The sequence below is a fragment of the Homo sapiens genome, chromosome 6 (genome assembly GCF_000001405.40).
Source record: "Homo sapiens chromosome 6, GRCh38.p14 Primary Assembly".
Classification (NCBI taxonomy): domain Eukaryota; kingdom Metazoa; phylum Chordata; class Mammalia; order Primates; family Hominidae; genus Homo; species Homo sapiens.
Genome location: NC_000006.12, coordinates 42,563,245 through 42,590,716, shown reverse-complemented (window position 1 = coordinate 42,590,716; position 27,472 = coordinate 42,563,245). Strand labels below are relative to the sequence as shown.

Below are 27,472 nucleotides of genomic sequence, written 5' to 3'. Positions count from 1 at the left end.
CTGCAGTCCTACTAGTTATCACTTGATATATGCCAAGGCTGTAAACAGTGTACAGTTAGGTGCATAAATGTTCATTATGGATATTTTTTCTTTACCTACTGCTCTCTTTACCAGCATACAATGTCTATTTGTGTCTTTTATATGAAAACTGCTACTTTAATTTTCTTTTGTAACATATTATTTGCCTGGTATTTTTTTCTTAACTGTTTCTCTTCCCACTTTCAATGACTTTCTATTTTAGTTTGCCTCTTATAGACAATACTTGTGGATGTTTAAATATCAATCTGAGAGCCAGTCTTTTTGCTTTCATATAAAGAAAAGTAAAGCTAGAGTCTTGTCCTCATTTAGCTATCATTTAACAGAAAAGACAAATGTGTACAGTTATAGTATTGATTGTTGACTACCGTATTAAAAGTATGTAGGGCCAAAGCCAGTGCATCTGGAGCACTCAAGGATCCCTGAGATCTTAGTGATTTGTCTAAAGCCATCATCTCCAAGCTTTTACAATCATATACCCTTGTATTAAAATGTTTTGTGTATGCAGTATCTATCTCTATGTAAATATATTCATATTACACATATATTATTTTAACATAATATTAATACATGTACTAATTAGTTACTCAATTATACTACTGTGTAACTGGAGTCTTCGGAATGGAACAAAGGCAGAAAAAATATTTGAAGAAATAATAACCTAAACTTAGCAATTTGGTGGAAGACATTGGCTAAAAACAAACCTCAAGAGAATAAATACAAAAAAGATATTTAGGCCTATCATAGTCAAACTGCTAACATTCAAAAATAACAAGAAAATCTTCAAGGCAGCTAGAAAAATCCAACACATTTCACACAAGGTACATAGATATGCCAGTAACAGCTAACATCAACAAAACAACAGGGTTCAGAACACATTGGATCATGATCTTTAAAACGTTGAAAAGGAAGAAAACCAGAAACAGTCTATCCAGACTTCAATATTCAGGAAAAATATCCTTCAAAAATGAGTACAAACAATCTGAACAGGCCTATATCTATTAAAGAAATTGAGTCAAGAACTAATAACCTTCAAAATCAAAAGCACTGGGCTCACATGGGTTCACTGGTGAATTCTATCAAATGTTTAAGGAAGAAATTATACTAGCTCTATGCAATCTCTTCTAGAAGACAGAAGCAGAGGGAATACTTCCTAACTCATTCTATTAGGCCAGCGTCGCTCTAATGTCAAAATCAGATATAGACAATTCAAGAAAAATACAGACCAATCTCTTTCATGAAAATAACAAAGTATTAGCAAATTGAATCCAACAACGTATAAAAAGAATTCTACACTATAACCAAGTAGAATTTATCCCATGTATGCTAGGCTGGCTCAACATCTGAAAATCATGTAAATCTATCACATTAACAGGCTAAAGAAGAAAAATTACACACAGAAAAGCATCTGATAGTTGGTGCAGTGGCTCACACCTGTAATCCCAGCACTTTGGGAGGCTGAGGTGAGAGGATCGCTTGAAGCCAGGAGTTAGACCAGTTGGGGCAACAAACTAAGACTCCATCTCTGCAAAAATTTTTTATAAAAATTAGCTAGGCACAGTGGTGTGCCTGTAGTACCAGCTATGAGGCTGGAGGATCCCAAGTCCAGGTGTTTAAGACTGCTGTGAGCTATGATCTCGCTACTGCACTCCAGCCTGGATAACTCTATCTTTGGAAGAAAAAAAAGGATTTGACAAAATACAATGCCCATTCATAATAAAAACTCTCAGCAGAAGAGGAATATTGAGGAATATTTCTCAACTTGACAAGGAATAACTACAAAAAAACCTACAGCTAACATCACTTAATGGCGAGAAATCTGAGTTTATGCTTGTGAGGTGACTTAGTGTAGAGCCCCTAGACAGCCTCAGTACAGGGCCAGTTACCAGAAAGACCACGACCAAGAGGGCTGGAGCTTTCAGACTCACCCACCAAAATCTCGGAAGAGGGGAGGGGTGGGGTTGGAGATTAAGCTCTTTATTATAAAAACTTTTTGTTGTTGTTGTTGTTTCTTGGGATAGGGTCTAGCTCTGTCACCCAGGCTGGAGTGCAGTGTGGCCTGATCACAGCTCACTGCAACCTTAAACTCCTGGGTTTGAGCAATCCTCCCACTTCAGCCTCCCGAGTAGATGGAACTACTGGCTCAAGCCACTATGCCTGGCTATTTTTCCTTTGCAGAGACAGCATCTTGGTATGTTGTCCAGGCTAGTCTTAAACTTCTAGCTTCAAGTGATTCTCCTACCTCGGTCTTCCAAAGTGCTGGGATTACAGGTATGAGCCACCATGCCTGGCCCCTATAAAAATTCGACAAAGTTTAATGAACTTCCAAGTTGCTGGAACTTCACCCTGGGACTGAGGTGTTAGGAGGGTGGCATGCCCAGAGAGGGCATGGAAGCTCCTCACCCTTTCTCCCACACCTTGCCCTATTAAGTCTCTTCCATCTGGCTGTTCTTCTGTATCCTTTATAATATCTGTAAGCTGTCCTAGCAACTTAATCCAACCCAAAGAGGAGCTAATGGAGACCCCAATATATAGCCAGTCAATCAGAAGTATAGATGACCATTAATTGCAACTGGTGTCTAAAGTAGGGGGCAGACTTGTGAAACTGAGCTCTTAGCCTTTGGATTCTGACAATAACACCTGGTAGACAGGGTCAGAGTTGAATTGAATTAAATTGTAAGATACCCAGCCAATATTCAGAGTTGGAGAAATCCTTAGGGTAAAAAAACCCACATACCTGGTGTCAGAAGCGTTGCATGAGAATGTAGAGAAAGAGTGTGTTTTTCCCAGAATAAAAAAAGGGAGAAAAAAATAAGTGCAAAATAAAAACATTTTCAGATGAGATCGGGCACATTCAGGGTGGTATGGCCATAGACAATAAAAACATGTTCAGATAAACATAAACTGAGATAACTAATAATTAGAATCCACAGTAAAAGTCAACAACAATGGTCCACAGCCTCTGGTTCAACCTGCAACTAAGAATGATTTTTACATGTTTAAACAGCTATTTAAAAAAAGAAGTCTGGGCTTGGTGGTTCATGCCTGTAATCCCAGAACTTTGGGAGGCTGAGGCGGGAGGATCACTTGAGCCCAGGAGTTTGAGACCAGCCCTGGCAACACGGTGAGACCCCATCTCTACAAAAAATTTAAAAATTAGCCAGACATGGCAGCATGCACCTGTAGTCTCAGCTACTTGGGAGGCTGAGGTGAGAGGATTGCTTGAACCTGGGAGGTCAAGGCTGCAGTAAGCTGTGGTTATGCCACTATACTCCAGCCTGGGAAATGGACAGAGCAAGACTCCATCTCAAAAAAAGAAAGAAAAAAAATTAAAAGAAGAATATGCAACAAAGACTGCAAATATATTTTCTACTTGGATCTTTACAGAAAAAGCTTCCCAACCTCTAGTCCAGGAAAGAATGAAGATCCCTGGGAGCAAGATATATGTGGGTTAATATTAATGCTTATACATATTTTTTCCTGTCTTTTCTTAATATCTTTAAAAGACTAATGTGTTAAAGCAAAAATTGTAACATTGCATTGTAAGGTTTATAACATTTTGGCCGGGCATGGTGGCTCATGCCTGTAATTCCAGCACTTTGGGAGGCTCAGGCAGGTGGATTACCTGAGGTCAGGAGTTCAAGACCAGCCTGGCCAACATGGTGAAACCCCGTCTCTACTAAAAATACAAAAATTAGCCAGGCGTGGTGGCGGTGCCTGTAATCCCAGCTACTCGGGAGGCTGAGGCAGGAGAATCACTTGAGTCTGGGAGGCGAGGTTGCAGTGAGCCGAGATTGCGCCACTGCACTCCAGCCTCAGCGACAGAGTGAGACTCTGTCTCAAAAAAAAAAAAAAAAAGTTTATAGGTGCAATATATATGACAAGAAGCAGAAAAGATGAGAGGAATAAATGTAACTATAAATGCAAGGTTCGTTTATTTTACACGAAGTAGTAAAAACAGACTTTGATAAATTAAAGATGCATATTATAATCCCTAGAGTTACCATTTTAAAAAATGTGAGAGAACAGCTAAAGAGCCAAAAAAATAATCAAAACGAAATGCTACAATTCTAATTAACCCAAAAGGCAGCACACAGTTAGGAAAATTAGGAACAGAGGAACAAAAAAAAAAAAAAAAAAAAGAGAGACAAACTGAAAACAAATAGCAAATGGTAGACCTAAATCAACAAATACATTAATAATTATAAGCATATCAATAATTACATCCAACAACTGCAAAATATACCTTCTTTTCAAATGCACATGGAATAAGACTGACCATGTTGCCGAACCATAAAACAAGTTTCAAGTTTTGTTTGTTGAGACAAGGTCTGGCTGTGTTGCCCAGGCTAGAGCACCATGGTACAATCTCAACTCGCTGCAACCTCCCACTCCTGGGCTCAACTCAACCTCCCACATAGCTGGGACTACAGGTGTGCTCCACTATGTCCAGCTAATTTTTGTATTTTTTTTTTTTTGGTAGAGATGGGGTTTCGACATGTTGCCCAGGCTGGTCTTGAACTCCTGGGCTCAAGCTATCCACCCAGTTTAGCCCTCCAAAGTGCCAGGATTACAAGCGTGAGCCACCTTGCTGGGTCCATAAAACAAGTTTCAATAAATTTCAAAACTGAAACCATACAGAATGTGTAATTTTGTTAGAAATAAGTTACAATATGTTATCTAAGAAAGCCTCAAATACATGGAAGTTTAGCAATGCACTTCTAAATAACCTGTGGGTCAAAAAATATAAGACCATAAATCCAAACTAAGCAGAAGGAAGAATAATAAGAGTAGAAATCAATAAAACAAAATAGATAAAAGACAAAAATAACAAAGCTAAAAACTTATTATTTGACAAAATTAAATTGATTTGAAAGACAAAATACAAATTACTATTACCAGGAATGAAAGAGACATCATTATAGACACCACAGACATCAAAAGCAAAAGGAAATAGGCACAATTTTATGTCAATTTGACATTATATGATGAAATATATTCCTTGAAAAATATATAGTGCCAAAACTGACAGAAGATGAAATAAAATTATAAAAAACCCTAATAAACATCAAAGAAATTGAATCGTTACCAAATACTTCCTTGCAAAAAAACCCTAGGCCTTGATGATTTATTTTACTGGCACATTCTATCAAACATTTAAGAAAAAGTCATACCAATTTTACATAAATACTTCCAGAAATAAGGAAGAAGGAATATATCCCAATTCGTTTTACAAGGCCAGTATAACCCTAACAACCAAGACCGGACAAACACATTACAAGAGAATGCCAGATGGGTATATTCTATGGAACACAGAGACAAAAATCCTTCACACAACATTAACGAGTTGAATCCAGCAATATACAAAAGTTATAATTCATGATAATAGAGCCGGATTCATCCAGTAATAAAAAAATGTGAAAAATCAAACAATGCAATCAACCAAACTAATGGAATAAAAAAGAAAAACTATGATCATCTCAATAGATGCAGTAAAGGTACTTGACAACATGAAATAGTCATTTATGATTTTTTTAAAAACCTAGGTAAACTAGGAATAGAAGGGAACTTCCTCAATGAGATAAAAGTTGTATGAGACAATTATACTTAACATCATATTTAATAGTGAAAGACTGAATTTCTCCCTAAGATTGGGAACAAGGAAAGAATATCCACTTTCACCAGAGCAATGGAGCACAAGAAAGGCAAAAAGATTAGAAAAGAAAAAGTAAAACTGTCTCCATTCATAGAAGACATAATTATAGGAAAATCCTAAGAAACAAAAAACAAAACAAAAACACCAGAACTAGCAAGTGAATTTAGCAAGGTCACAGGGTAAAAGTTAATATCAGAAACCAGCTGTATTTCTTCATAATGGCAGAAAATAAACGGACACTAAAATTCAGAAAAAATATCATAAATTATTTAGGAACAAATATAACAGAAGGCATGTACAACTTCTATATAAAAACTATAAGACTTTGCTAAAAGGAATTAAAGAAGGCCTTAATAAATGAAGAGAGATAAAATGTTTATGGACTTGGGAAACTCAGTATTGTTAAAATGTCAATTAACCCCAAACTAATCTATAGATTCAATGCAATCCTAATCTTAATCTTGGTAGTCTTTCTTAAAAACAGAAATTTACAAACTAATTTTAAAATTTATAAAATGCAAAAGACATGAAATAGACAAAACAAACTTTAAAGGAACAAAAATGGAAGACTTACACTAATCAGTTCAAGACTTATTATAAAGCTGCAATAATCAAAGTAATGTCTTTGACATAAGAATAGACATAGCAATGAATGAACTAGATTACTGTTCAGAAATGGACCCACACTTTATGGTTAAGTGATTTTTTATAAGATATCAAAGCAACTCAACCAGGTGCAGGTGGCTCACGCCTGTAATCTCAGTACTTTGGGAGGCCAAGGTGGGCAGATCACCTGAGGTCGGGAGTTTGAGACCAGCCTGACCAACATGGAGAAATCCCGTCTCTACAAAAAATACAAAATTAGCTGGGCATGGTGGTGCATGCCCATAACCCAGCTACTCGGGAGGCTGAGGCGGGAGAATTGCTCGAACCCAGTAGGCGGAGATTGCGGTGAGCTGAGATAGCGCCATTACACTCCAGCCTGGGCAACAAGAGCAAAACTCTGTATCAAAAAAAAAAAAAAAAAAAAAATTCAATGGGGAGAGGAAGAAATGATGCTGGAACAACTAAATATCTGTATGTCAAGAAATGAAACTTAACCTCTACCTCAAGCCATATAAAAAATTTAGTTTGAGACAGATCATAGGCCCAGACATAAAGTCTAAAATCACAAAGTTTACATGAAAAAATTAGAGAGAGAGGCCGGGCGCGGTGGCTCATGCCTGCAATCCCAGCACTTTGGGAGGTGGAGGTGGGCAGATCATTTGAGGTCAGGAGTTCAAGACCAGCCTGACCAACATGGTGAAAACCTGTCTCTACTAAAAATACAAAAAAATTAGCTGGGACTGGTGGTGCGTGCCTGTAGTCCTAGCTACTCAGGAGACTGAGGCAGGAGAATGGCTTGAACCTGGTAGGCAGAGGTTGCAGTGAGCTGAGATCGTGCCACTGCACTCCAGCCTGGGAAACAGAGCAAGTCTCAGAGAAAAAAAAAAAAAAGCCCTGTAATCCCAGCACTTTGGAAGGCCTAGGCGGGTGGATCACATGAGGTTGGGAGTTCAAGACTAGCCTGACCAACATGGGGAAACCCCACCTCTACTAAAAATAGAAAATTAGTTGGGCTTGGTGGTGCATGCCTGGAATCCCAGCTACTTGGGAGGCTGAGGGAAGAGAATCGCTTGAATCCGGGAGGCAGAGGTTGCAGTGAGCCGAGACTGCGCTATTGCACTCCAGCCTGGGCAACAGGAGCAAAACTGTCTCAAAAAATAAATAAATAAAAGTAAATAAATAAATCACAGAAACTATTTTTGCCATTTGAGAGAAGGCAGAGATTTACTGGACACAAGAACAATAATCATGAAAAAAAGTGGTAAATTGAACATTAAAATTAAAAACTTCTGTCATCAAAAGCCACCATAGAAACAAGCCACAGCCTAGGAGAAAATAGTCACAAAATGAGTCTGACGAAGGACTTGTATTCAGAATAAAGAACTCCAAAAGTGAATAAAGATAATGAAAAGATAAACAACCCAAAAATGGACAAAAGACCTTAACAATAACTTCACAAGAGAAGCTGGATGAATGGGCAATAAGCACATGGAAAATCGTCATTAAGGAAAATTTAAACTATAATGATACCCAAAACGCACTGACTTTTTTTTTAATTTTAAAAAGAAAAAAAGAACTATAATGAGATATCATTAAATAGAATGGCAAATTAAACAGTCTATGTAGTATATGCTGGCAGATATTTAAATAGTATGATGCATTAAACTTAAATTTAAATGAGGTTATTATTTTAAGGACTTGTGTTTTTTTCTGTAAGGAATAATACAATAATTGCAATTAAGAAATATTTCATACTGTATTAAACACAGTCTTCCTGTTTTGTTAAAAAAAAAGTCTGACAACATCACCTATTGGTAAGGATATGAAACAACAGGAACTTTCGTACATTACTAGAGGAGAAGATAAAATCCTTTTGGAAAAAAGGTTTAGCAGTTTTTATTAAGTTCAACATATACCTGCCCTTTTACCCAGAAATTCCACTCTTAGGAATTTATCCAAGAAAAATTAAAACATATGTCCACAAAAACACTTGAATAAAAATGGTAATATCCTGAAACCAATGTATCAAGTAAGAGTATTCACTGTATTATTACAGTCTAGAAGGCCTATCTTATGGTGTCTTAATATAAATAATTTTCTTACATTCCTAAAATGTTTTTTTTTTTTTTTTTTTTTGAGACGGAGTCTCGCCCTGTTGCCCAGGCTGGAGTGCAGTGGTGCGATCTCGGCTCACTGCAAGCTCCACCTCCCGGGTTCACGTCATTCTCCTGCCTCAGCCTCCCGAGTAACTGGGACTACAGGTGCCCGCCACCACGCCCGGCTAATTTTTTGTATTTTTAGTAGAGACGGGGTTTCACCATGTTAGCCAGGATGGTCTCGATCTCCGGACCTCGTGATCCACCCACCTCGGCCTCCCAAAGTGCTGGGATTACAGGTGTGAGCCACCGCACCCAGCCCTTAAAATGTATCATTAAAAGCTGCAGATTTTTAACAGTGCAAAATTTATGTTATTTGGTATATAAAACACATTAAAATGTGGTTAAGTATAGAATAACAATGCCTAATATTTTAATGTGTTGCACATTTAAAAAAGAGAAGGTCATAGAAGTTTTATTCATAATAGCCAAAACTTAGAAACAACTCGAATGTTCATCAACAGAACAACAGATTGTAGGCAACTGTGGCACATTTATACAATGAAATACACTCAGCAATAAAATGGAACCAACTTCTAATAATCATTACATCATGGATAAATCTGACAGACATTATGCTGAGAAGAAGCCAGGCACAAAAGGACTACAATTTCATTTTTATAAGATCTAGAACCAGGGTGGGCGCAGTAGCTCATAACTGTAATCACAACACTTTGGTAGGCTTAGGGGAGAGCATCACTTGACCCCAGGAGTTCAAGATGAGCCTGGGCAGCAAAGTGAGACCTTGTCTCTTCAAAAAATTAGCCAGGTTGGCTGGGCACAGTGGCTCATGCCTGTAATCCCAACACTCTGGGAGGCCGAGGGGGCCAGATCATTTGAGTCCTGGAGTTTGAAACCAGCTTGGCCAACATGGCGAAACCCGGTCTCTACTAAAAAATACAAAAATTAGCTGAGCATGGTGGTGCGTGCCTGTAATCCCAGCTACTCAGGAGGCTGAGGTGGGAGAATTGCTTGAAACCAGAAGGCAGAGGTTGCAGTGAGCTGAGATCATGCCACTGCACTTCAGCCTGGGCGACAGAGCGAGACTCCGTCTCGGAGAAAAAAAAAAAAGGAAAAAGAAAATTAGTCAACATAGTGACAGACACATGTGATCCTAGCTATTTGGGAGGCTGAGGCAGGAGGAAAGGTTGAACCTGGGAAGTTGAGGCTGCAGTGAGCCATGATCATGCCATTGCACTCCAGCCTGGTCAATAGAGCAAAACCCTGTCTCAAAAAAAAAAAAAAAAAAAAAAAAAAAATTCTAGAACCACCCAAGGTAATCTAAGGTGACAATATCAACACAGTGGTTACCTAGGCGGCTGGAGCCAATGACAGGGAAATTTCTAGTGAGACAGGAAAGTTCTCTATCTTCACAATACATAAATCATATAAGGTTAACTACTGTCAAAAATGTACAATTAAGGCCGGGCGCGGTGGCTCACGCCTGTAATCCCAACACTTTGAGAGGCCGAGGTGGGCAGATCACGAGGTCAGGAGATCGAGACCATCCTGGCCAACATGGTGAAACCCTGTCTCTACTACAAATACAAAACAAATTAGCAGGGCGTGGTGGCGGGCACCTGTAGTCCCAGCTACTCAGGAGGCTGAAGCAGGAGAATCGCTTGAACCCAGGAGGCGGAGGCTGCAGTGAGCCAAGATCGTGCCCCTGCACTCCAGCCTGGGCAACAGCATGAGACTGTCTCAAAAAAAAAAAATGTACAATTAAGATTTGTCTTTTGACATATGTAAATATTCCCTTAAGAAAAAACACTCAAAACTCACAGAGGGGCCAAGAGATAAAATTTTAGTAATATAAATTTGCGTTTCCTACCTGAATGGATTACCCCAAAGCCTTTATGGTTCTATTATTTCTTACCATCTAGGCAAAGGCAGCTAGCTACATGCCAAGTTGATGATACCACCATGTACTTCTACGTTTCATTCTGCACCAAACTGAATAATCACAAATCTCCAAAATAAGAACATAAGACTCATTTTAGACAACTACAGAAATCTAAATTATCTAGAAGATATTTACTGCATTTTCCCAGGTCAGAGAGAGCAGTGTAGACAAGGGAAATTCCATTATACTGAAGGCCCCATGATAACGTACAGAATTAAAATTCTACCTCTGGGTATTTATTGAAACATGTACAAAGAGATGTACACAAACATGTGCAGGGTATTCCTTGCAGCATTGTTTGCTACAGAAAAAAAAACCTAGAAATCTCCATTTCTAATTTCATTATTAGGTCAATCAAATAAACTATGGCCTGTCCTTACTATGAAAACAGTTATAAAGAATGAGGTAGATTTATATATATTGACATGAAAAGATCTCCAAAACAAACTGTTAAGTGAAAAAATGTAAGCCACAATTATAATACACATAGTATAATTTCATTCATATGTGTGTAATATACACAGTATAATTTCAGCATGTATCACACATGCCAGCCAGGTGCAGTGGTTCACACCTGTAATCCCAGCACTTTGGGAGGCCAAGGTGGGAGGATCTCTTGATCCAGGAGTTTGAGACCAGCCTGGGCAATATAGGGAAACTCTGTTTCTACAAAAATACAAAAGTTAGCTGAGCATGGTGGCACACGCCTATGGTTCTAGCTACTTGGAAGGAACACTTGGGCCCAGGAGTTGGAGGCTGCAGTGAGTTATGATCATGCCACTGTACTCTAGACTAAGCGACAGAATGGGACTCTGTCTCAAAAAAAGAAATAACCAATGGTTTTAAAACTAACACAACATTGATTCCAATCTCTGGACTATTCACATTATAAAGAAATAGCTTGATATAGTTTGGATATGTGTCCCCTCTAAATCTCATGTTGAATTGTAATCCCCAATGTTGGAGGTGGGGCCTGGTGGGAGGTGACTGAATCATGGGAGGGATTTCTCATGAACAGTTTAGCACCATCCTCTTGGTGCTGTTCTCCCAATAGAGAGTTTTTGTGAGCTCTGGTTGTTTAAAAGCGTGGCACCTCCTCCTCACCTCTTGTTCCTGCTCTCACCATGTGATGTGCCTGCTTCCCTTTCCCCTTCAGCCATGACTGTAAGCTTCCTGAGGTCCCCACCTGAAGCTGAGCAAATGTTTATGCCATGCTTGTACAGTCTTGCAGAACTGTGAGCCAATTAAACCTCTTTTCTTTATAAATTATCCAGCCTCAGGTATTTCTTTATAGCAATGCAAGAACAGCCTAACACTCAGTTTTAAAATAGAATCCTGCAAGAGATCAAGACTTCAAGTTTGTGTGTGTGTGTGTGTGTGTGTGTGTTTGTGTGTGTGTGTTTTTGAGATGGAGTTTCGCCCAGGCTGGAGTGCAATGGCATGATCTCGGCTCACCGCAACCTCCCTCTCCTGGGTTCAAGCAATTCCCCTGCCTCAGCCTCCTGAGTAGCTGGGATTACAGGCATGAACCACCATGCCCAGCTAATTTTTGTATTTTAAGTAGAGAAAAGACTTCAAGTTTTTTCAAAAGCAAGAAACTGAAAGAACAACCCCTCTTCATGGAAATACGTAGGTCTTCCATATGAGAGCTTTATTACTTCCAGACAGAAAAGGAACTAGAACTATCTGCACCCCTCTGCTTGAGATGCTACTCATGGCTCAGTAATTTATATGAAGAAGAGTATTCAATTAAAAAAAACCTCACACATATCTATAATTACCTATGTGCTTTCATACACGTTACTTCATTTTATCCTAATGACTCAGGGAGGAAAAATCACCCTAAAAAACGTAAAAAAATCATTGCTAAAGACACTTCCAATGCTCATCCACATCCTAGTTTCATCTATCCCTGAGACTTAGGAGAATTACACTTTCCCGACCTATTCTGTTGCTGGATAGAGGCATTAGGCCTAGTTTTGCCTAATGGGATTTGGGTAAGATCATAATTTCTGAGACAAAGCATTTATTTGCTGAGAATGATCCACCAGCTCTATTCTGTTCTTGCTGTGGTGAACCTTGAAAGCATTACAGTAAGCTTGTGGAAACATAAGATGGTGTCAAAAAAACTACCTGGAGCAGAACCCTCTACTTATCACCCCACTCATCTGAATTGGTCACACAGTCTGAGTAATAAATATATCTTGGTACATAAAGTCTTTGGGATTGTAGAGTTGTTTATCATTTTTAGCATAATCTCAACTGTCATGACCAACAGAATCAGGGTTAAAACATCCCAACAGAAAGAAATGATAAATGTTCAAAGTGATGGATATCCTAGTTACCTTGATTTGATCATTACACCTTATGTGTGTGTATCAAAATTACATATACCCCATAAATATGTACAATTATTATATACCAATACAAACCACTATTAAAGTAAAAAAAAAAGCCTATACAAAATTATTTAATAGTTAATAAAGCATCATAAAATACTATCTAGAAACAAAAATACTCCTGATGGCAGCATAAGCCACCCCCGCCCCCAATGCCAATTTCTGGTTAAGTATAACATTCATGTAATACGTTTTTAAATGTTAAAAAAGAATGTTCTCAATTTAACTACACTAAAAAAACAGGGGGATGAAACCTTACTTCTCCGTATCTTAAAAGAAGTATTAAGCTAAAAACTTAACTCATGAAAGTATGATTTCATATTCTACTCGTTTTATTTTTCTTAATGGTTATAAAAAATGTCAAAATATACAATTATCAAAATCAACACTAAGATTTTTGCCCACTAAGATTTTTTACACTGTAAAACCATTTCTATTTAATAACGAATAACAAGTGCTAAGTTTGACCACTCTTTTCCTAATAGAGTACACAAAAAGTAGCTTACTGCCTACGAACACCCAGATGGCTTTTTTCTGACATCATGGAGACTTCAGAAAAATAATTTGTGACCAACACAATTTTAGAAACTATGAACAAATAACTCCCCATAGCAAAACTAATCTATGCCCTTCACAAATCCTTTTCCTAAGTACTATATATAAAAGATCCTTTAATATCATTCTTTCTCATTAAAGAAACCTTCTGCATTATGGATATCAGTCACCTTTATCCTGAAGGGTCTAGTTTAGAAACCTCCCCAGAATTCCAATAACCATATTTAATCTTTCCAAATAACAGACTCCGTGTCATTTTACCAGGGCGCTGGGTTTCATGGAAACACCTACTTTTAAAATGAGATATTCATCCCCAGCACCCAGCATGGCCATTTACTATGAGTTTACTGTGTGCCAAGTATTGTGTAAAGTACTACACACAAAGGATCTCACTAACCCTCTCAACAATCTAATAAAGAACCTGGCTGGTCTTTGATCTGGTTTCCAGGGAGGTAACCTTTAAATCCCTGGCATTACTTATGTGATCAGAGTGTCTCTGTTATTTGTGGGACCCCCACAAATAAGAAAAACTATACATCCTAGAACAAGGCTTACTTTGGATCTGCCCTAACAAAACAGGAGGGAGGCCGGGCACGGTGGCTCAGGCCTTTAATCCCAGCACTTTGAGAGGCTGAGGCAGGTGGATCACTTGAGGTCAGGAATTTGAGACAAGCCTGGCCAATGTGGTGAAACCCCATCCCTACTAAAAATACACAGATTAGCCAGTGTGCGCCTGTAGTCCCATCTACTCGGGAGGCAGAGGCAGGAGAATCACTTGAATCCGGGAGGCAGAAGTTGCAGTGAGCCGAGATTATGCCACTACAATCCAGCCTGGGCTACGGGGTGAGACTCCATCTCAAAAAAAAAAAAAAAAAAAAAAAAAGAGGGAAAGGCCACTGTGACCCAGTACTGAACACAAAATCCAAATGGGGTAAAGGGGGGCAATTATGCAGAGAGTTGGGCAGCAGCAGCAGCAGAATGGCTGCATACAGGGGAATAATTAAATAAGCAAATATTTTGAGGAAAATGAGAATCAGGTTTTCTCTTGTCAGAGAAGGAAATTAAAAATATGCAAAGGAAGAAAACTAGAAAGAACCTTAGATGGGAACAGAAGAGATCACTACAGATGCATGGTTTCCAATATCTATTTCAATACATTTATACAGATAGGTATAAAATAAAGCTCCATTGAGACAGCCTGAGAGTTATAACACCAACAGCAACATGCACACATACCATCTTATTTGTAAACACCATTTTCCACTAAAAAGAACCAGGATCCTTGGCAAAATGGTTGATTTCAGGGTTGGGGCAGGAGAAAGCTCAAGATTGCCTGGGACATCTTGTTGTACCAGGAAGAAAAGAAAAAACAGAAGGGAAAAGGAAAGGAAAAGAAAAAGAGCTCAAAGGATGATAGAGATATGAAAAAGAACAAAGATAGCTTGAAGGGGCTCCTATTGACCAAATCTAGGACAATTTGAGCATAATAATGAGACCCCACAAATACTGATATAAATAAATAAATTGAAAGTTTGATAATGAAGAGGATACTTAATAGTCTCAAAGTACTTCCCAACAACACACTTATTGATCACATAGGGGAAAAGAGTAACATTACAGTGGAGAAGTCTTGCAGACATCCCTTTAATCAAGTGATCAATATCACCAGTTGTAGAACTAATCAAAATCATACATACCACCTGACAGGGTTAAAACACATGATTTCTGTGGCACTCCTGTCACAGATGCAACTTGAATCTAATTACGAAAACCAGACAAACCCAAATTGAGGGGACATTGACAAAATAACTGGTCTGTAATCTTCAAAAGTGTCAAGATCATGAAAGTCACAGAAAAATTGAGGAAACATTCCAGATTGAAGATTAAAAGACAAGATATACAAATAATTTGGAACTAGATCCTATTAATACAAAGAACATTACTGAACAATGGGGTCTCAATTTCCTATCCATAAATTATGAGGTTCAACTAGGTCTACTGCTCCAAACATCAACAGAATATTCAAAGTAGTTTCTGTAATAGCAAACAAAAAACTAGGTCTAATAGTTTTTCAATATATATACTGTTCTCTATTGATATTCTAAATAAGCTAATAAAGAAAACTACCATAGATAACCAGAGGCTTTCACCAAAATTAGCTTATTAAATTTCAGTTTTACAGGAAAAAGTTTAAAGGAAAAAGTTAAATAATGTCTCTGACAACACATCTACACAAAAGAATATTATCTAGCTACATAAGCTGATACGGAAAGATGTTAAGCTATGGTTAAATACAGAAAAGAAAATTTAGCTCAGTATATGTAACATATTCCCATCTGTATTTATGTATGTAGGTTTAAAATTGCCATATATCTTGGCCTATATACACAAAGAAAATTTCTGAAAGAGGCCGGGTACAGTGGCTCATGCCTGTAATCCAGCACTTTGGGAGGCCAAGGCAGGTGGATCATCTGAGGTCAGGAGTTTGAGACCAGCCTGGCCAACATGGTGAAACCCCGTCTCTATTAAAAATACAAAAATTAACTGGGCATGGTCATGGGCTAAGCCTGTAATCCCAGCCAGTTGGGAGGCTGAGGCAGAAGGATCACTTGAACCTGGCAGGTGGAGGTTGCAGTGAGCCGAGATCGCGCCACTGCACTCCAGCCTGGGTGACAGGGCAAGACTCCATCTCAGAAAAAAAAAAAAAAAGGAAAATTTCTGAAATGATATATGGGAAAATGTTAACAATGATTAATTCTGGAAAATTGGACAGTCAAAAAGGGGACAAGGCACTTTATTCTCCATCTTCTACCCTTGTATACTCAATTTTCACCAAGAAATTTAAAAAAGAAAAGTCTTCCTAACAGCAGTAAATGCATACAGCACCCAGATCTTGGTTTCTAACTACCATTCCCAAATGAAAGAAAAATCTTTAAAGAAATAGCTGATTGTACATACGGGTCAGAGCAAGTACAAAGTGAGCTGGGGCATCTTGTGCCAGAAAGGAAAGAAGCACCCACAAACTAATGAAGGCATGTGAAAAAGACAAGATGGTGTGACGGGGCTCTCACTAGCCAAATCTATGGCAATTTGAACATCAGAATTACTGTAACTAAAAAATATCAAGAAAAGCAAGAAAGTGATTATTGCAAGAGTCAAGATGTCAGTTAATTATGGGGGAAGGAAGAAAGCACACAGTGGGCTTCAAGAATGCTGGTGACAATTTTTTTTGATCAAGAATAATTACAAAAATGTTTGCTTTAATTATTTATTAAATAGCATGTATTTGTAATACAGATTTTTAAGCAGATATGGTATTTCATAATTTTTAAACAAAAACTCAAAAGTTCCAGGGAAAAAAAGAGGTCAAATAAAACAAGAGCCTCCTAGAAAGAAAATTAAAATATTTTACCTGCAAGAATATGTAGGCTCTCCTACTTTAAAAACACGACCACAAAGATGAGAAGGTTTGTTTGCTTGCTCAAGTTTTGGAAATCCAAATGCAGGATCTTCACCACAAAGGTACCATTCCATTGGTCCCAACAAAACATGCTGTGCCAGCATGTCTTCTTTCTGTGGAAAAGGGTTGGGACCCCTGCAGTAGATTTTGGGTACATAGTGGGCTAAATGCTGGTACACTTCTCTAGTGAGGTCAGTTGCTTGCAGCCATTTCTTTAAAAGAAGAAAAGAGAAGAAATGGTTTTAAACACCAACAAACTAATTTGAACAAATTCACCCTACTTTCTTTTAGGTACAAAAATAATGACAAAAGCATATTAAAATATTTTGTTTACAACACTCACCACCGTACGTTAGAAATTTAATCTATTAAAATGCCAAGTATGTTTAAATCCTACTTTTAAGTGTAAGTAAAATTAAAATGAAACAAGCCTCCCTCCTTCCCTGCAAAATGACTCTTGAAGCAATCTTCTCTAGGCAGTACCAGAAAATAATTACAAGAAATCATTATATAAGATATGAACCATTGAGCTCACCTAATGTCCTTCCTAATGCTTTGCTCAAATGTTATTCTCATTGTGATATCAATTCTCACGTCAGTTTGTCCATAGGAAGAGTGTACGGTGAATATGAACAGCCAATATGTACGGTGAACATGAACAGCCAATACACATTTCTTAATGATTGATAAGCAAGTTTATATACCAGTCTCTTATTGAATAAGTCAGTCCACAAGAGACTGTTGTACCAATTATGCCTTCTTTCTCTGATCAACTTCTCTCTCTCTATAAGGCCTTTTCCGTTTGCTCTCCCCACTAAAAACAAATTTTAAAGCATGATTCTACTTAGATCTCATAGGTACCAACTCAATAACTGAATGCATGATCTCCCCTCCATGCTCCACCAAAATCTGTTATTTTCTCCATTTCCAGCTCAACCTGGGTATCCACACCGAAAAATCTGAAAAGCTTCCCAGCACTTTGGGAGGCCAGGCCAAGCAGATCACCTGAGGTCAGGAGTTCAAGACCAGCCTGGCCAACATGGTGAAGTCTCTTCTCTACTAAAAATATAAAAATTAGCTGGATGTGGTGGCGCATGCCTGTAATCACAGTTACTCAAGAGGCTGAGGCAGGAGAAATCGCTTAAACCCAGGAGGCAGAGGTTGTAGTGAGCCAAGATCCAGCCTGGGCGACAGAGCAAGAGTCTGTCTCAAAGGACAAAAAAAAAAAAAGACTCACTTCTGCTAGAATGCAGTTAACTGAACCGTGAACAAAACCCACAGATGGAGGGAAAGAGGAAGGGGAAGTGAGTTGAAAAACTACCTATTGGGTACTATGCTCACTACCCAGGTGCAATATACTCATGTAACAAACCTGCACATGTATTCCTTAAATCTAAAGTAAAAGCTGAAATTAAAAAAAACCTCCAATGTTTACCTATGGATTACTACCTAATTCCAGTTACATTTTTATTTAAAAAAAAAAAAAAAGTATGTTCAAGTGATATGTAACATCATAAGAAGTCAACATAAGGTCTTCATTTTAGCTATTACTTGTATATTCTTCAGACCACTCCTTCTAAAAACAACATACAGAGAGATTTTAAATATGCATGAGGTGATGTATATTAACTTTCTAGTCAATTTCTGTTTTCAGAGAACTTTTACTAAAAATGTAAAAATTTTGTTCATAAGTTAAGGGACTGGATAGAAGCTTATAACCAAAAACGGTGAAAGAGTTTTCATGCTTAAAGTGAAACTAAACTATTTTCCAAATATTACTAACATTGTTGTGTTTACATTATGCAAGTAGGAAAGAGACTAAATTACTTTCAAAACAACAGCATTTCTTCCCTGGTGGCCAAGTGGTTAGGGAAAAAAAAATAAAAATAAAAATAAAACAGCAGCAGCAGCATCATTTCTTAGGAGACAATCCTACAGGCTTTAAGTATTCTCTCCCTTCAGAGTGACTCAATCAAAATTTTATATATACATACACATCCTTTAAGCTCAGTAATTATAAAGAGGACAAGTTTTAAAAAAAGAAAAAGAGTCCTCAACAAGCATACTAGAATCTTATTCTTTGAGCTAAAAGACCTCGTTTTGGCCTCATTCAAAGGTAAATGTCTCATTTTTCACCCATTGTCAGCAAACCAAAACAAGAATGAAGGTAGTCAAATGATCCTAAGCGCTTTTTTTTTTTTTTTTTTTTGAGTCTCGTGCTGTCGCCCAGGCTGGAGTGCAGTGGTACGATCTCGGCTCACTGCAACCTCTGCCTCCCAGGTTCAAGTGATTCTCCTGCCTCAGCCTCCTGAGTAGCTGGGGTTACAGGTGTGCACCACCACACGCGGCTAATTTTTGTATTTTTAGTAGAGACAAGGTTTCACTATGTTGACCAGGCTTGTCTCAAACTCCTGACATCAGGTGATCTGCCCACCTCGGCCTCCCAAAGGTGCTAGGATTCAATTTACTCTTTATGAAAGAAAAATTAAGCAATAAGACCAAAATAATTCACCTCCATGATCCTAGAAAGTTAAGTGCTTCGGACTTTTTTTTACAACATATTGAAAGATTTTATTTAAAAACCAGTTTTTTTCCTTATATTTTATGTTCCCATTCCTGTAAAACTTCACTGTTGCAAAATTTTAATACAAGAATGAAAGGTTACTTTAGAAGGGATGCTTTTTTTTTTTTTTTTTTTTTTTTGAGACGGAGTCTTGCTCTGTCACCCAGGCTGGAGTGCAGTGGCGCGATCTCGGCTCACTGAAAGCTCCGCCTCCCAGGTTCACGCCATTCTCCTGCCTCAGCCTCCCAAGTAGCTGGGACTACAGGCTAGCATGGATGCTTTCTAAAAAAAAATTATGCAGTCTAGTAACTGTAACGAGAGCAAATTTGTTCATAGATTTCTTCAACAAAAATTCAGACGCTAGTATCAGCTTCTGGTTAAGAAAAAAAAAAAAAATCGGCCAGGCTCTTTGGCTCATGCCTGTAATCCCAGCACTTGGGAGGCCAAGGCGGGTGGCTCATTTGAGTTCAGAGGTTCGAGTCTAGCTTGGGCAATATGGCAAAACCCTGTCTCTTCTAAAAATAAAAGAAGATTAGCTGGGCATGGTGGTGCATGCCTGTAGTCCCAGCTACTCAGGAGGCTGAGGTGGGAGGATCACCTGAGCCCCGGAGGTTGAGGCTTCAGTGAGGCATGATCACGCCACTGCACTTCAGCCTGGGTGACAGAGTGAGATCCTGTCTCAAAAAACAAACAAACAACAAAAAAAAAACTAGCCACTTTACATAAAAATATTATTAGTAAAACAAGCAAGTATTTCACTCTTTATTACATATTATTATAAATAACAAGACTTAAAAGTCTGGTCCAAGAAAGGCATGCATATGCTCCCCATTTTTCAAATCTTTACTACTCCTGGGCACAGTGGCTCACGCCTATAATCCCAGCACTTTGGGAGGCCAAGGTGGGCAGATCACTTGAGGCCAGGAGTTCGAGACCACCATGGCCAACATGGTGAAACCCCATCTCTACTAAAAATACAAAAATTAGCCAGGAGTGGTGGTGCACGCCTGTAATCCCAGCTACTTGGGAGGCTGAGGCAAAAGAATCGCTTGACCTCAGGAGGTGGAGGTTGCAGTGAGCCTAGATCACGCCACTGTACTCCAGCCTGGAGGACAGAGTGAGACTCCGTCTCAAAACCAAAAACTTTACTACCATTATATGAAAAAATCACAATCACCTAAAAGATTTGGGCTCTATTACAGGCACTTTAAGCTGATTAAACATACATACTTAATATAAAAAGCAAGAAAAATTTATGACTGTCTTTCAGAAGTAGCTCACACATTTCCCCAAAGAATAAAATCTATAGCTTTTCATATTAGTTCTAACATATGCTAACTGCAACTGTTTCTTCAACATGAAAAATTAAGATTTCCAGTTTGGTTGGCCTTTTGTCTTTATTTCAGACACTTGTAGCTGTCACACCCATGTGGCATAAGAGAGTAATAAGCATTCACTATCTTACTACAAGTCCCTCTTAAGGGAAGTAAAGAAACTGTCAACTCATTCCTCTAAAGTAAACATGTTATGACAATGTTTCCAGGAGCTTTCCCTCTATTAAATACTAAATTTAAGCCTTGGGATAGAAAGCAAGTACAATAAAATAAAAATGAAATGAAAAATGAAAGAATCCCTAGAGGTTAGTTAGCCTTTTATTACAGTCTCTATTATTCTATACCCAATTAAAATTGTATCCTTTAACTACTTTTGGTTTTGCTTTCAAACAAGGATAAGCAACATGTAAGTTAATCATAAAACAACTAGTGCTCATAACCATAAAAACAATAGTGTTTAAGTGGGAGTTTTAGGGAATATATTGAGAAAAATTTTAAACAAATTATATTAAGAGCTCTACAAATTAAGGAGAATATTTACAAATAAAATATAGAAATTTAATAGGTCAAAAGACTAATTGAAAATAGGCAAAGAAGACATAAAAATGGCCAATAAGCTCATAAAAAGATGTTCCAACATGACTCATGAGGGAAATGCAAATCAAAACCACAATGAGAAGGCATAACACCCAAAAGAATGGCTGTAATCAAAACACAGGCAAAAACAAGTGTTGGCAAGGATCTGGAGAAATTGGAACTCTCATGCACTACTGGTGGGAATGTAAAACAATGCAACTGCTTTGGAAAAATCTGGCAGTTCTTCAAAATAGTTAACATATGACCCACCAATTTCACTTCTAGGTATGTATATACCCAAGAGAAACAAAAGCATATGTCCCCACAAAAATTTGTAAAAAATGTTCACAGCAACATGATTCATAATACCCAAAAAGTAGAAACAACCCAAATATTCACCAACTGATGAACAGATAAATAATATATGGTTTATCTATACAAAGGAATGTCATTTGGCAATAAAAAAGAAAGAATTACTGACACAGGTTGAGCATCCCTAATTTGAAAACGTGAAATCCAAAATGATCCAAAATCTGAAACTTTGCATGCCCACACGATGCTCAAAGAAGTGCTCATTGGAACATTTGGATTTTGGATTAAGGATGCTCAACTGGTATAACTGCAAATATTTTAAAATCCAAAAAAATCCAAAATCCAAAACACTTCTGGTGGCAAGCGTAACAATACTCAACCTGTACATGGTACAACATGGATAAATATTTTATTTTTATTATTTTTTTTTTGAGACAGAGTCTCGCTCTGTTGCCCAGGCTGGAGTGCAGTGGCGCGATCTTGACTCACTGCAAGCTCCGCCTCCCGGGTTCATGCCATTCTCCTGCCTCAGCCTCCCAAGTAGCTGGGACCACAGGCGCCTGCCACCACGCCCGGCTAATTTTTTGTATTTTTTAGTAGAGACGGAGTTTCACCGTGTTAGCCAGGATGGTCTCGATCTCCTGACCTTGTGATCTACCTGCCTTGGCCTCCCAAAGTGCTGGAATTACAGGTGTGAGCCACCGCGCCTGGCCCAACATGGATAAATATTTAAAACATTATCTAAGAGAAAGAAGTCAGCCACAAATGACAATATGTTGAATTCCATTTATACGAAATATCCAGAATAGGCAAATCTACACAGACAAAAATTAGTAGTTGATTAGACCTCAGGAGTTTAGGTGTGAAAGGGAAGTGACTGCCAATAGGTACAGGATTTCTTTTTTGGGGTGATAAAAATGTCCCAAAATTGATCATAGTGATGATTGCATGAATCTGAATATACTAAAAACCACTGAATTTAACTGTACAGTATGTGAGTTATATCTCAATAAAACGGTTTAAAAAATGTACAGCAAAAAGATAACCAATACAGACCTAAAACTCTACATAAAACTTAACAAATTCATTATTTATTAAAACAAAATTTTTTTTGAAGACAGGGTCTCACTGTATCACCCAAGATGGAGTACAGTGGCATGATCATAGCTCACTGTAACTTCTAACACCTGGGCTCAAGCGATCCTCCCTGCTTAGCCTTCTGAGTAGCTAGGACTGCAAGTTCATGCCACCACACCCAGCTTATTTATTTTATTTTATTTTTTTTTAGTAGAGACAGGGTATAGCTAATGTTGCCCAGGCTGGTCTCAAACTCTTAGACTTAAGCAGTCCTCCCACCTCAGCCTCCCAAATAGCTGGGATTACTGGCATGAGCCAGTGCTCCCAACCTGTATTTCTTTTATATTCAGGGAAAAAGATGGGGTCCCGCTCTGTCACCCAGGCTGGAGTGCAGTGGCGCGATCTCGGCTCACTGCAACCCCAGCCTCCTGGGTTCAAGCAACTCTCCTGCCTCAGCCTCCCGAATAGCTGGGATTACAGGGGTGCACCACCATGCCCGGTTAATTTTTGTATTTTTAGTAGAGACAGGGTTTCACCATGTTGGCCAGGATGGTCTCTATCTCTTGACCTTGTGATCTGCCCTCCTTGGCCTCCCAAAGTGCTGGGATTACAGGCAAGAGCCACCACACCCGGCATGTTTACTTTTAAAACCGTAATCACTCACTGGAACATACTATAACCATATGTAGTATAGAAAGTAAACAGAGCCAAGAAGTGTTGGGAAAGTCATACTTATGGAGTCAATTCTAACAAGAAAAGAGAAGAATGAGAAGAGAGGGCCACTGTAATATCCTAAACTTACAAATATTAAAGAGTCAGCTTAGATACTTTTCTTTGTGAGGCATACTAGCTGGAATGGATGGGATCACAAAAAGTTCTTCCTCCTTATAACAGGAATAAGAAAAGCGGTGTGTAAATGAAATGTGGAAAGGTTGACACTAGTGCTCATTAGGTGATTTTTAAATGGAAGTGATCCTAACAAATTACCAATGACAGAGGTCTAAAGCCTACAATCACTGTTTTCTCTACTTGTTTCTCTTCCCTAAAATGTGCTTTCAACCTAAGAAAAAACTTTATTAATTTAAATGTGTGATAAAAAAGCTGAAGCCTAAGCTGAAAAAAACAGTTTTAAATGTTAGGTGTTTTAACTTAATACAGACAGTAAAGTCCTCACAAAGTAAGGCAAGATTAAGGTTATATAGTTGAAGGAATTTTATATTTTAATATTGGTTTTTGAGGTAGGAGGATCTCTTGAGCCTAGGAGGTCAAGGCTGCAGTGAGCTATGATAATGTCACTATACTCTAGTCTGGGCAACAGTGCAAGACCCCATCTCTTACCAAAAAAAGAAAAAAAAAAACTTATTGTTCAGAAAGGCATTTAAAAGTAAACAGGGTAGGCTGTGTGCGGTGGCTCACGCCTGTAATCCCAGGACTTTGGGAGGCCAAGGCGGACGGATAACCTGAGGTCAGGAGTTCGAGACCATCCTGGCCAATGTGGTGAAACCCTGTGTCTACTAAAAATACAAAAATTAGTCAGGCGTGGTGGCGTACGCCTGTAATCCCAGCTGTAATTCGGGAGGCTGAGGCAGGAGAATCACTTGAACCCCGGAGGCGGAGGTTGCAGTAAGCCAAGATTGCGCCATTGCACTCCAGCCTGGCGACAGAGCAAGACTGTCTCAAAAAAACAAACAAAAAAAGTAAACAGGGTAAAATGTAGCTCAGATTATGATCTTCACAAACTCAAATGAAGTCCAAATTAATAATTTTTTGTTGCATTTTCCTTGATTTTTCCTTACTGCATCTGCTTGAGAATTTCACTGAACAAGAACTAGGAGCACTGGCCTCCCGCACTACTTTTATAACCAGTTTCCTCAGGAGCCTCTACAAATTGGAGAACCTCTAATCACTTGATAGTTTGCACTTTTAGAATGGGATAACGGAATTTGTACCCTGTATCACTGGACCAAGACACAAAATTCAGTGAGAGAAAAAAAATCAAAACAGTACTTTGAGGTAAGCAACAGATATCAATTAGAAGAGGCATGGAGAGCAAACAGCTGTCATTATTATTTAACAGTTTACTTGTAACACTACTTTCATTTTCTTTTTTCAAATCTCCGATAAACGAAAGGCAGAAATTCCTTGAGTTGTACAACATTAAGTAGAAAGTAAATGAAAACAGACCTAGGCTAAACAAGTAAGTAGGTTTAAAAAAACACACCAAGGCAGGGCGCAGTGGCTCACGCCTGTAATCCCAGCACTTTGGGAGGCCCAAACAGGTGGATCACCTGAGGTCGGGAGTTTGAGACCACCCTGACCAACATGGAGAAACCCCAACTCTACTAAAAATACAAAATTAGCCGGGCGTGGTGGTGCATGCCTGTAATCCCAGCTACTCGAGGGGCTGAGGCAGCAGAATCGCTTGAACCCGGGAGACTGAGGTTGCGGTGAGCTGAGATCGCGCCACTGCACTCCAGCCTGGGCATCGAAAGCGAAACTCCGTCTCAAAAACAAAAACAAACAACAACAAAACACACCCAAACAAGCAAAGATTCAGCATTTAACAACGTATTTCTTTAAAGTCTTCACCTCTACTCCTGACATTTCTTTCTACCCGGACTTAATGTCCTCACCAATTCACGCAAAATAACTACTCACTGACCAACAGCTCCACAGTGCCCCCAATCCCAAATTTTGTTCGTAGCATTCAGATTGCTGACTTTTATTCACGGGTCACTCCCTTCCTAGCAGCCTTTTTAATTGGAGGTCTTAGAGGTGGGGCCCAAGCTGTCTTGGTCCATTCATAATCATTCTCGGCAATCTCTTCTAATGGGTGTTCCTACAACTCTGCTATTTACACTAGCATATTCATATTACAGTTTTAATGCAATAGTGCGTTTGAACGGTTTTACGTTTGGAATATAACTGCTCCTACTACACTGTGACCAGTTCTCACGTTTAGCTTATACAGTATTTGTTGAAAGCTGCTCTATCAACGTTATATAACATTTGTTCTCCATCCAATTACCCCTAACTCCTAGAAAAAATATTTTTAAAATTTCCCAGACTCCACGACTACTTTCTCATACTCAGTAAACTTTCCACACATGCATCAACGTTGTCAACTAATCAAACCGGTGCAAAAAAAAAAGATAGCACTGAAACGGATAACGAAGGGTAGTGTCGTTTGCCTTCTTGGTGCCTGGGGCAGTCCCAAAAACAAAAGAGGGGCTCGGTTAGGGTGGCATGTTTAGTCGGAGGAGCACACGGCTTCGCTTGTCTCAGGAAAAGCAATTAACTAGATAAACTAGGGCGATTATACCAAAAACACAAGAAGCGTCTCTTCTCCTCTTCCAAGAGCTGATATAAAGGGCAAAGGCCCATGTGTTGGGAGACTTAATGGGAGGCTGGGGGAAAGGAGGTATGATGGAAGAGCCGTGGGTTCTCCTGGGCAGAAAGGGAAAGTAAACGTAGTTAGTGCACAGCGCAGCTCTGGCAGCTGTTGAAAATGGAAAGAGAGGGGCAGGATCGGTGGCCTCCCCGGGCTATTACCCCACAAGGCGAGGGCCGGCACAGCTGTTTCCCCAAGTCTGGGTCGGGCTGCTCCAGGACGTCCAGGAGTCGGTTCCTCCCCACAGGCGCGGCCTGCGAGGGGCAGACGCACCCGCCCGGGTTCCGGCACTCACCCCCGCAATCTCCTCGGCCGAACATTCCAGCAAGCTCCGGTCGATGGCCTGCACCTCTGGCTCTAGCTCCGACGCCATCTTCTCTCCTCCTCCTCCCCAGCGCTACCGCCGCCCGGAGAGCTGCAGCCTCACCTCGGCCCCGGCGGCCTCGACTGCCACCCCTGCCCCAGGCAATCAGTCCCGGAGCCGTCCAAGTGGCTGCAGGTGGAGCAACAGAGGGAGAGAAGGGTGACGTGAACCGGAAAGGAAGGACAGCGGCCTCCTGCGCTCCCTCCCAAGCTTAGCGCCCAAGAGTCAAGTCACTGGCTCGTCCCTGACCCAGGGAAGGACACAGAAAACCCCAGGCCTGACACTCTCGCTGGCCACTACCGCGTCCTGCACCAGGAAAGGGGCAATAACACCCAGGAGGGGAAGCGGAGCTTTCTGGGTACTGTAGTTCTGGGTGCTGTAGGTACAGCACAGCCGGGAAAAAGGTGGCGCCCTAACACGGTGCCCCTCGAATGCATTGTGGGAGTTGTAGTCCATTCTCAAGGGGCGCTGGCTTAAATGGCAGATAAGCGGGCGGGGCTTTTCTGCCCAACGAGAATCATGGGAAGACAGTCGCGGAAAGCAGCGCCCCCTGGAAAAAAGCCAAAGAGAAAGATACTGTGGGAACTGTAGTTTTATTCTCCGAATCTCGTTTGTTCATTTTTGTATCCCCAGCTTCAAGAACACTGCCTGGCACATGGTAGACCCTCAAGGACTTGCCAGTCTGGCATAGGGTAGGCACTCAAATACTTGTCAAAGGAATGAATGAATTACATTCTATTCCTGTGGTTCTATGTCCTGTCATCCATCGAACCCATATCTTTTATACGAGTAATGGAGGTGAACATTACCCACTTTTTTGAAGGTTTAAAACATGTTTTAAAAAATTTTTCAAAAACTTTAGTGATGACCACTTATAAACTTTATCACAAATCTTGCTGCAAAGGAAAAAGAGTCTATTAGGCCAATTAAAAGATTTCCTCTTGATAGAGACATTTAATTTCTACAGATAATCAGACCAAGCTTGGTGGCTCATGCCTGTAATTCCAGCACTTTGGGAGGCCGAGGGGGGCAGACTACTTGAGCCCAGGAGTTTGAGACCAGTTTGGACAACATAGCGAGACCC

General features: G+C 39.5%; 1 protein-coding gene across 9 annotated transcripts in view, besides 5 other annotated features; it reads right to left on the bottom strand.

Annotated features, from left to right (window-relative positions):
* Window positions 1-26,688, bottom strand: part of UBR2 (ubiquitin protein ligase E3 component n-recognin 2) — a 129,477-nt gene extending 102,789 nt beyond the window's left edge. For 5 of the 9 annotated variants that reach the window (XM_017010594.2, XM_011514438.3, XM_047418493.1 and 2 more), the window contains exons 1-2: window positions 26,186-26,688; window positions 16,724-16,983 (exon numbers count right to left, since the gene is read on the bottom strand). In XM_017010594.2, coding sequence (XP_016866083.1) covers window positions 16,724-16,983; window positions 26,186-26,344 — 419 coding nt within the window. In that variant the 5' untranslated portion in view covers window positions 26,345-26,688. The remainder of the gene's footprint in view (window positions 1-16,723; window positions 16,984-26,185) is intronic. The other 4 variants (NM_015255.3, NM_001363705.2, XM_047418495.1 and 1 more) reach the window with 1 other exon arrangement.
* Window positions 17,758-17,807: an enhancer, noted in NCBI's record as "active region_24561". NCBI's record gives its function as "activates an Ori minimal core promoter by ATAC-STARR-seq in GM12878 lymphoblastoid cells {active_cell/tissue: GM12878}" and the evidence as "EXISTENCE:reporter gene assay evidence [ECO:0000049][PMID:35858748]".
* Window positions 17,898-17,957: an enhancer, noted in NCBI's record as "active region_24560". NCBI's record gives its function as "activates an Ori minimal core promoter by ATAC-STARR-seq in GM12878 lymphoblastoid cells {active_cell/tissue: GM12878}" and the evidence as "EXISTENCE:reporter gene assay evidence [ECO:0000049][PMID:35858748]".
* Window positions 25,295-25,424: a silencer, noted in NCBI's record as "silent region_17205". NCBI's record gives its function as "represses an Ori minimal core promoter by ATAC-STARR-seq in GM12878 lymphoblastoid cells {active_cell/tissue: GM12878}" and the evidence as "EXISTENCE:reporter gene assay evidence [ECO:0000049][PMID:35858748]".
* Window positions 26,457-26,976: an enhancer, noted in NCBI's record as "active region_24559". NCBI's record gives its function as "activates an Ori minimal core promoter by ATAC-STARR-seq in GM12878 lymphoblastoid cells {active_cell/tissue: GM12878}" and the evidence as "EXISTENCE:reporter gene assay evidence [ECO:0000049][PMID:35858748]".
* Window positions 27,047-27,126: an enhancer, noted in NCBI's record as "active region_24558". NCBI's record gives its function as "activates an Ori minimal core promoter by ATAC-STARR-seq in GM12878 lymphoblastoid cells {active_cell/tissue: GM12878}" and the evidence as "EXISTENCE:reporter gene assay evidence [ECO:0000049][PMID:35858748]".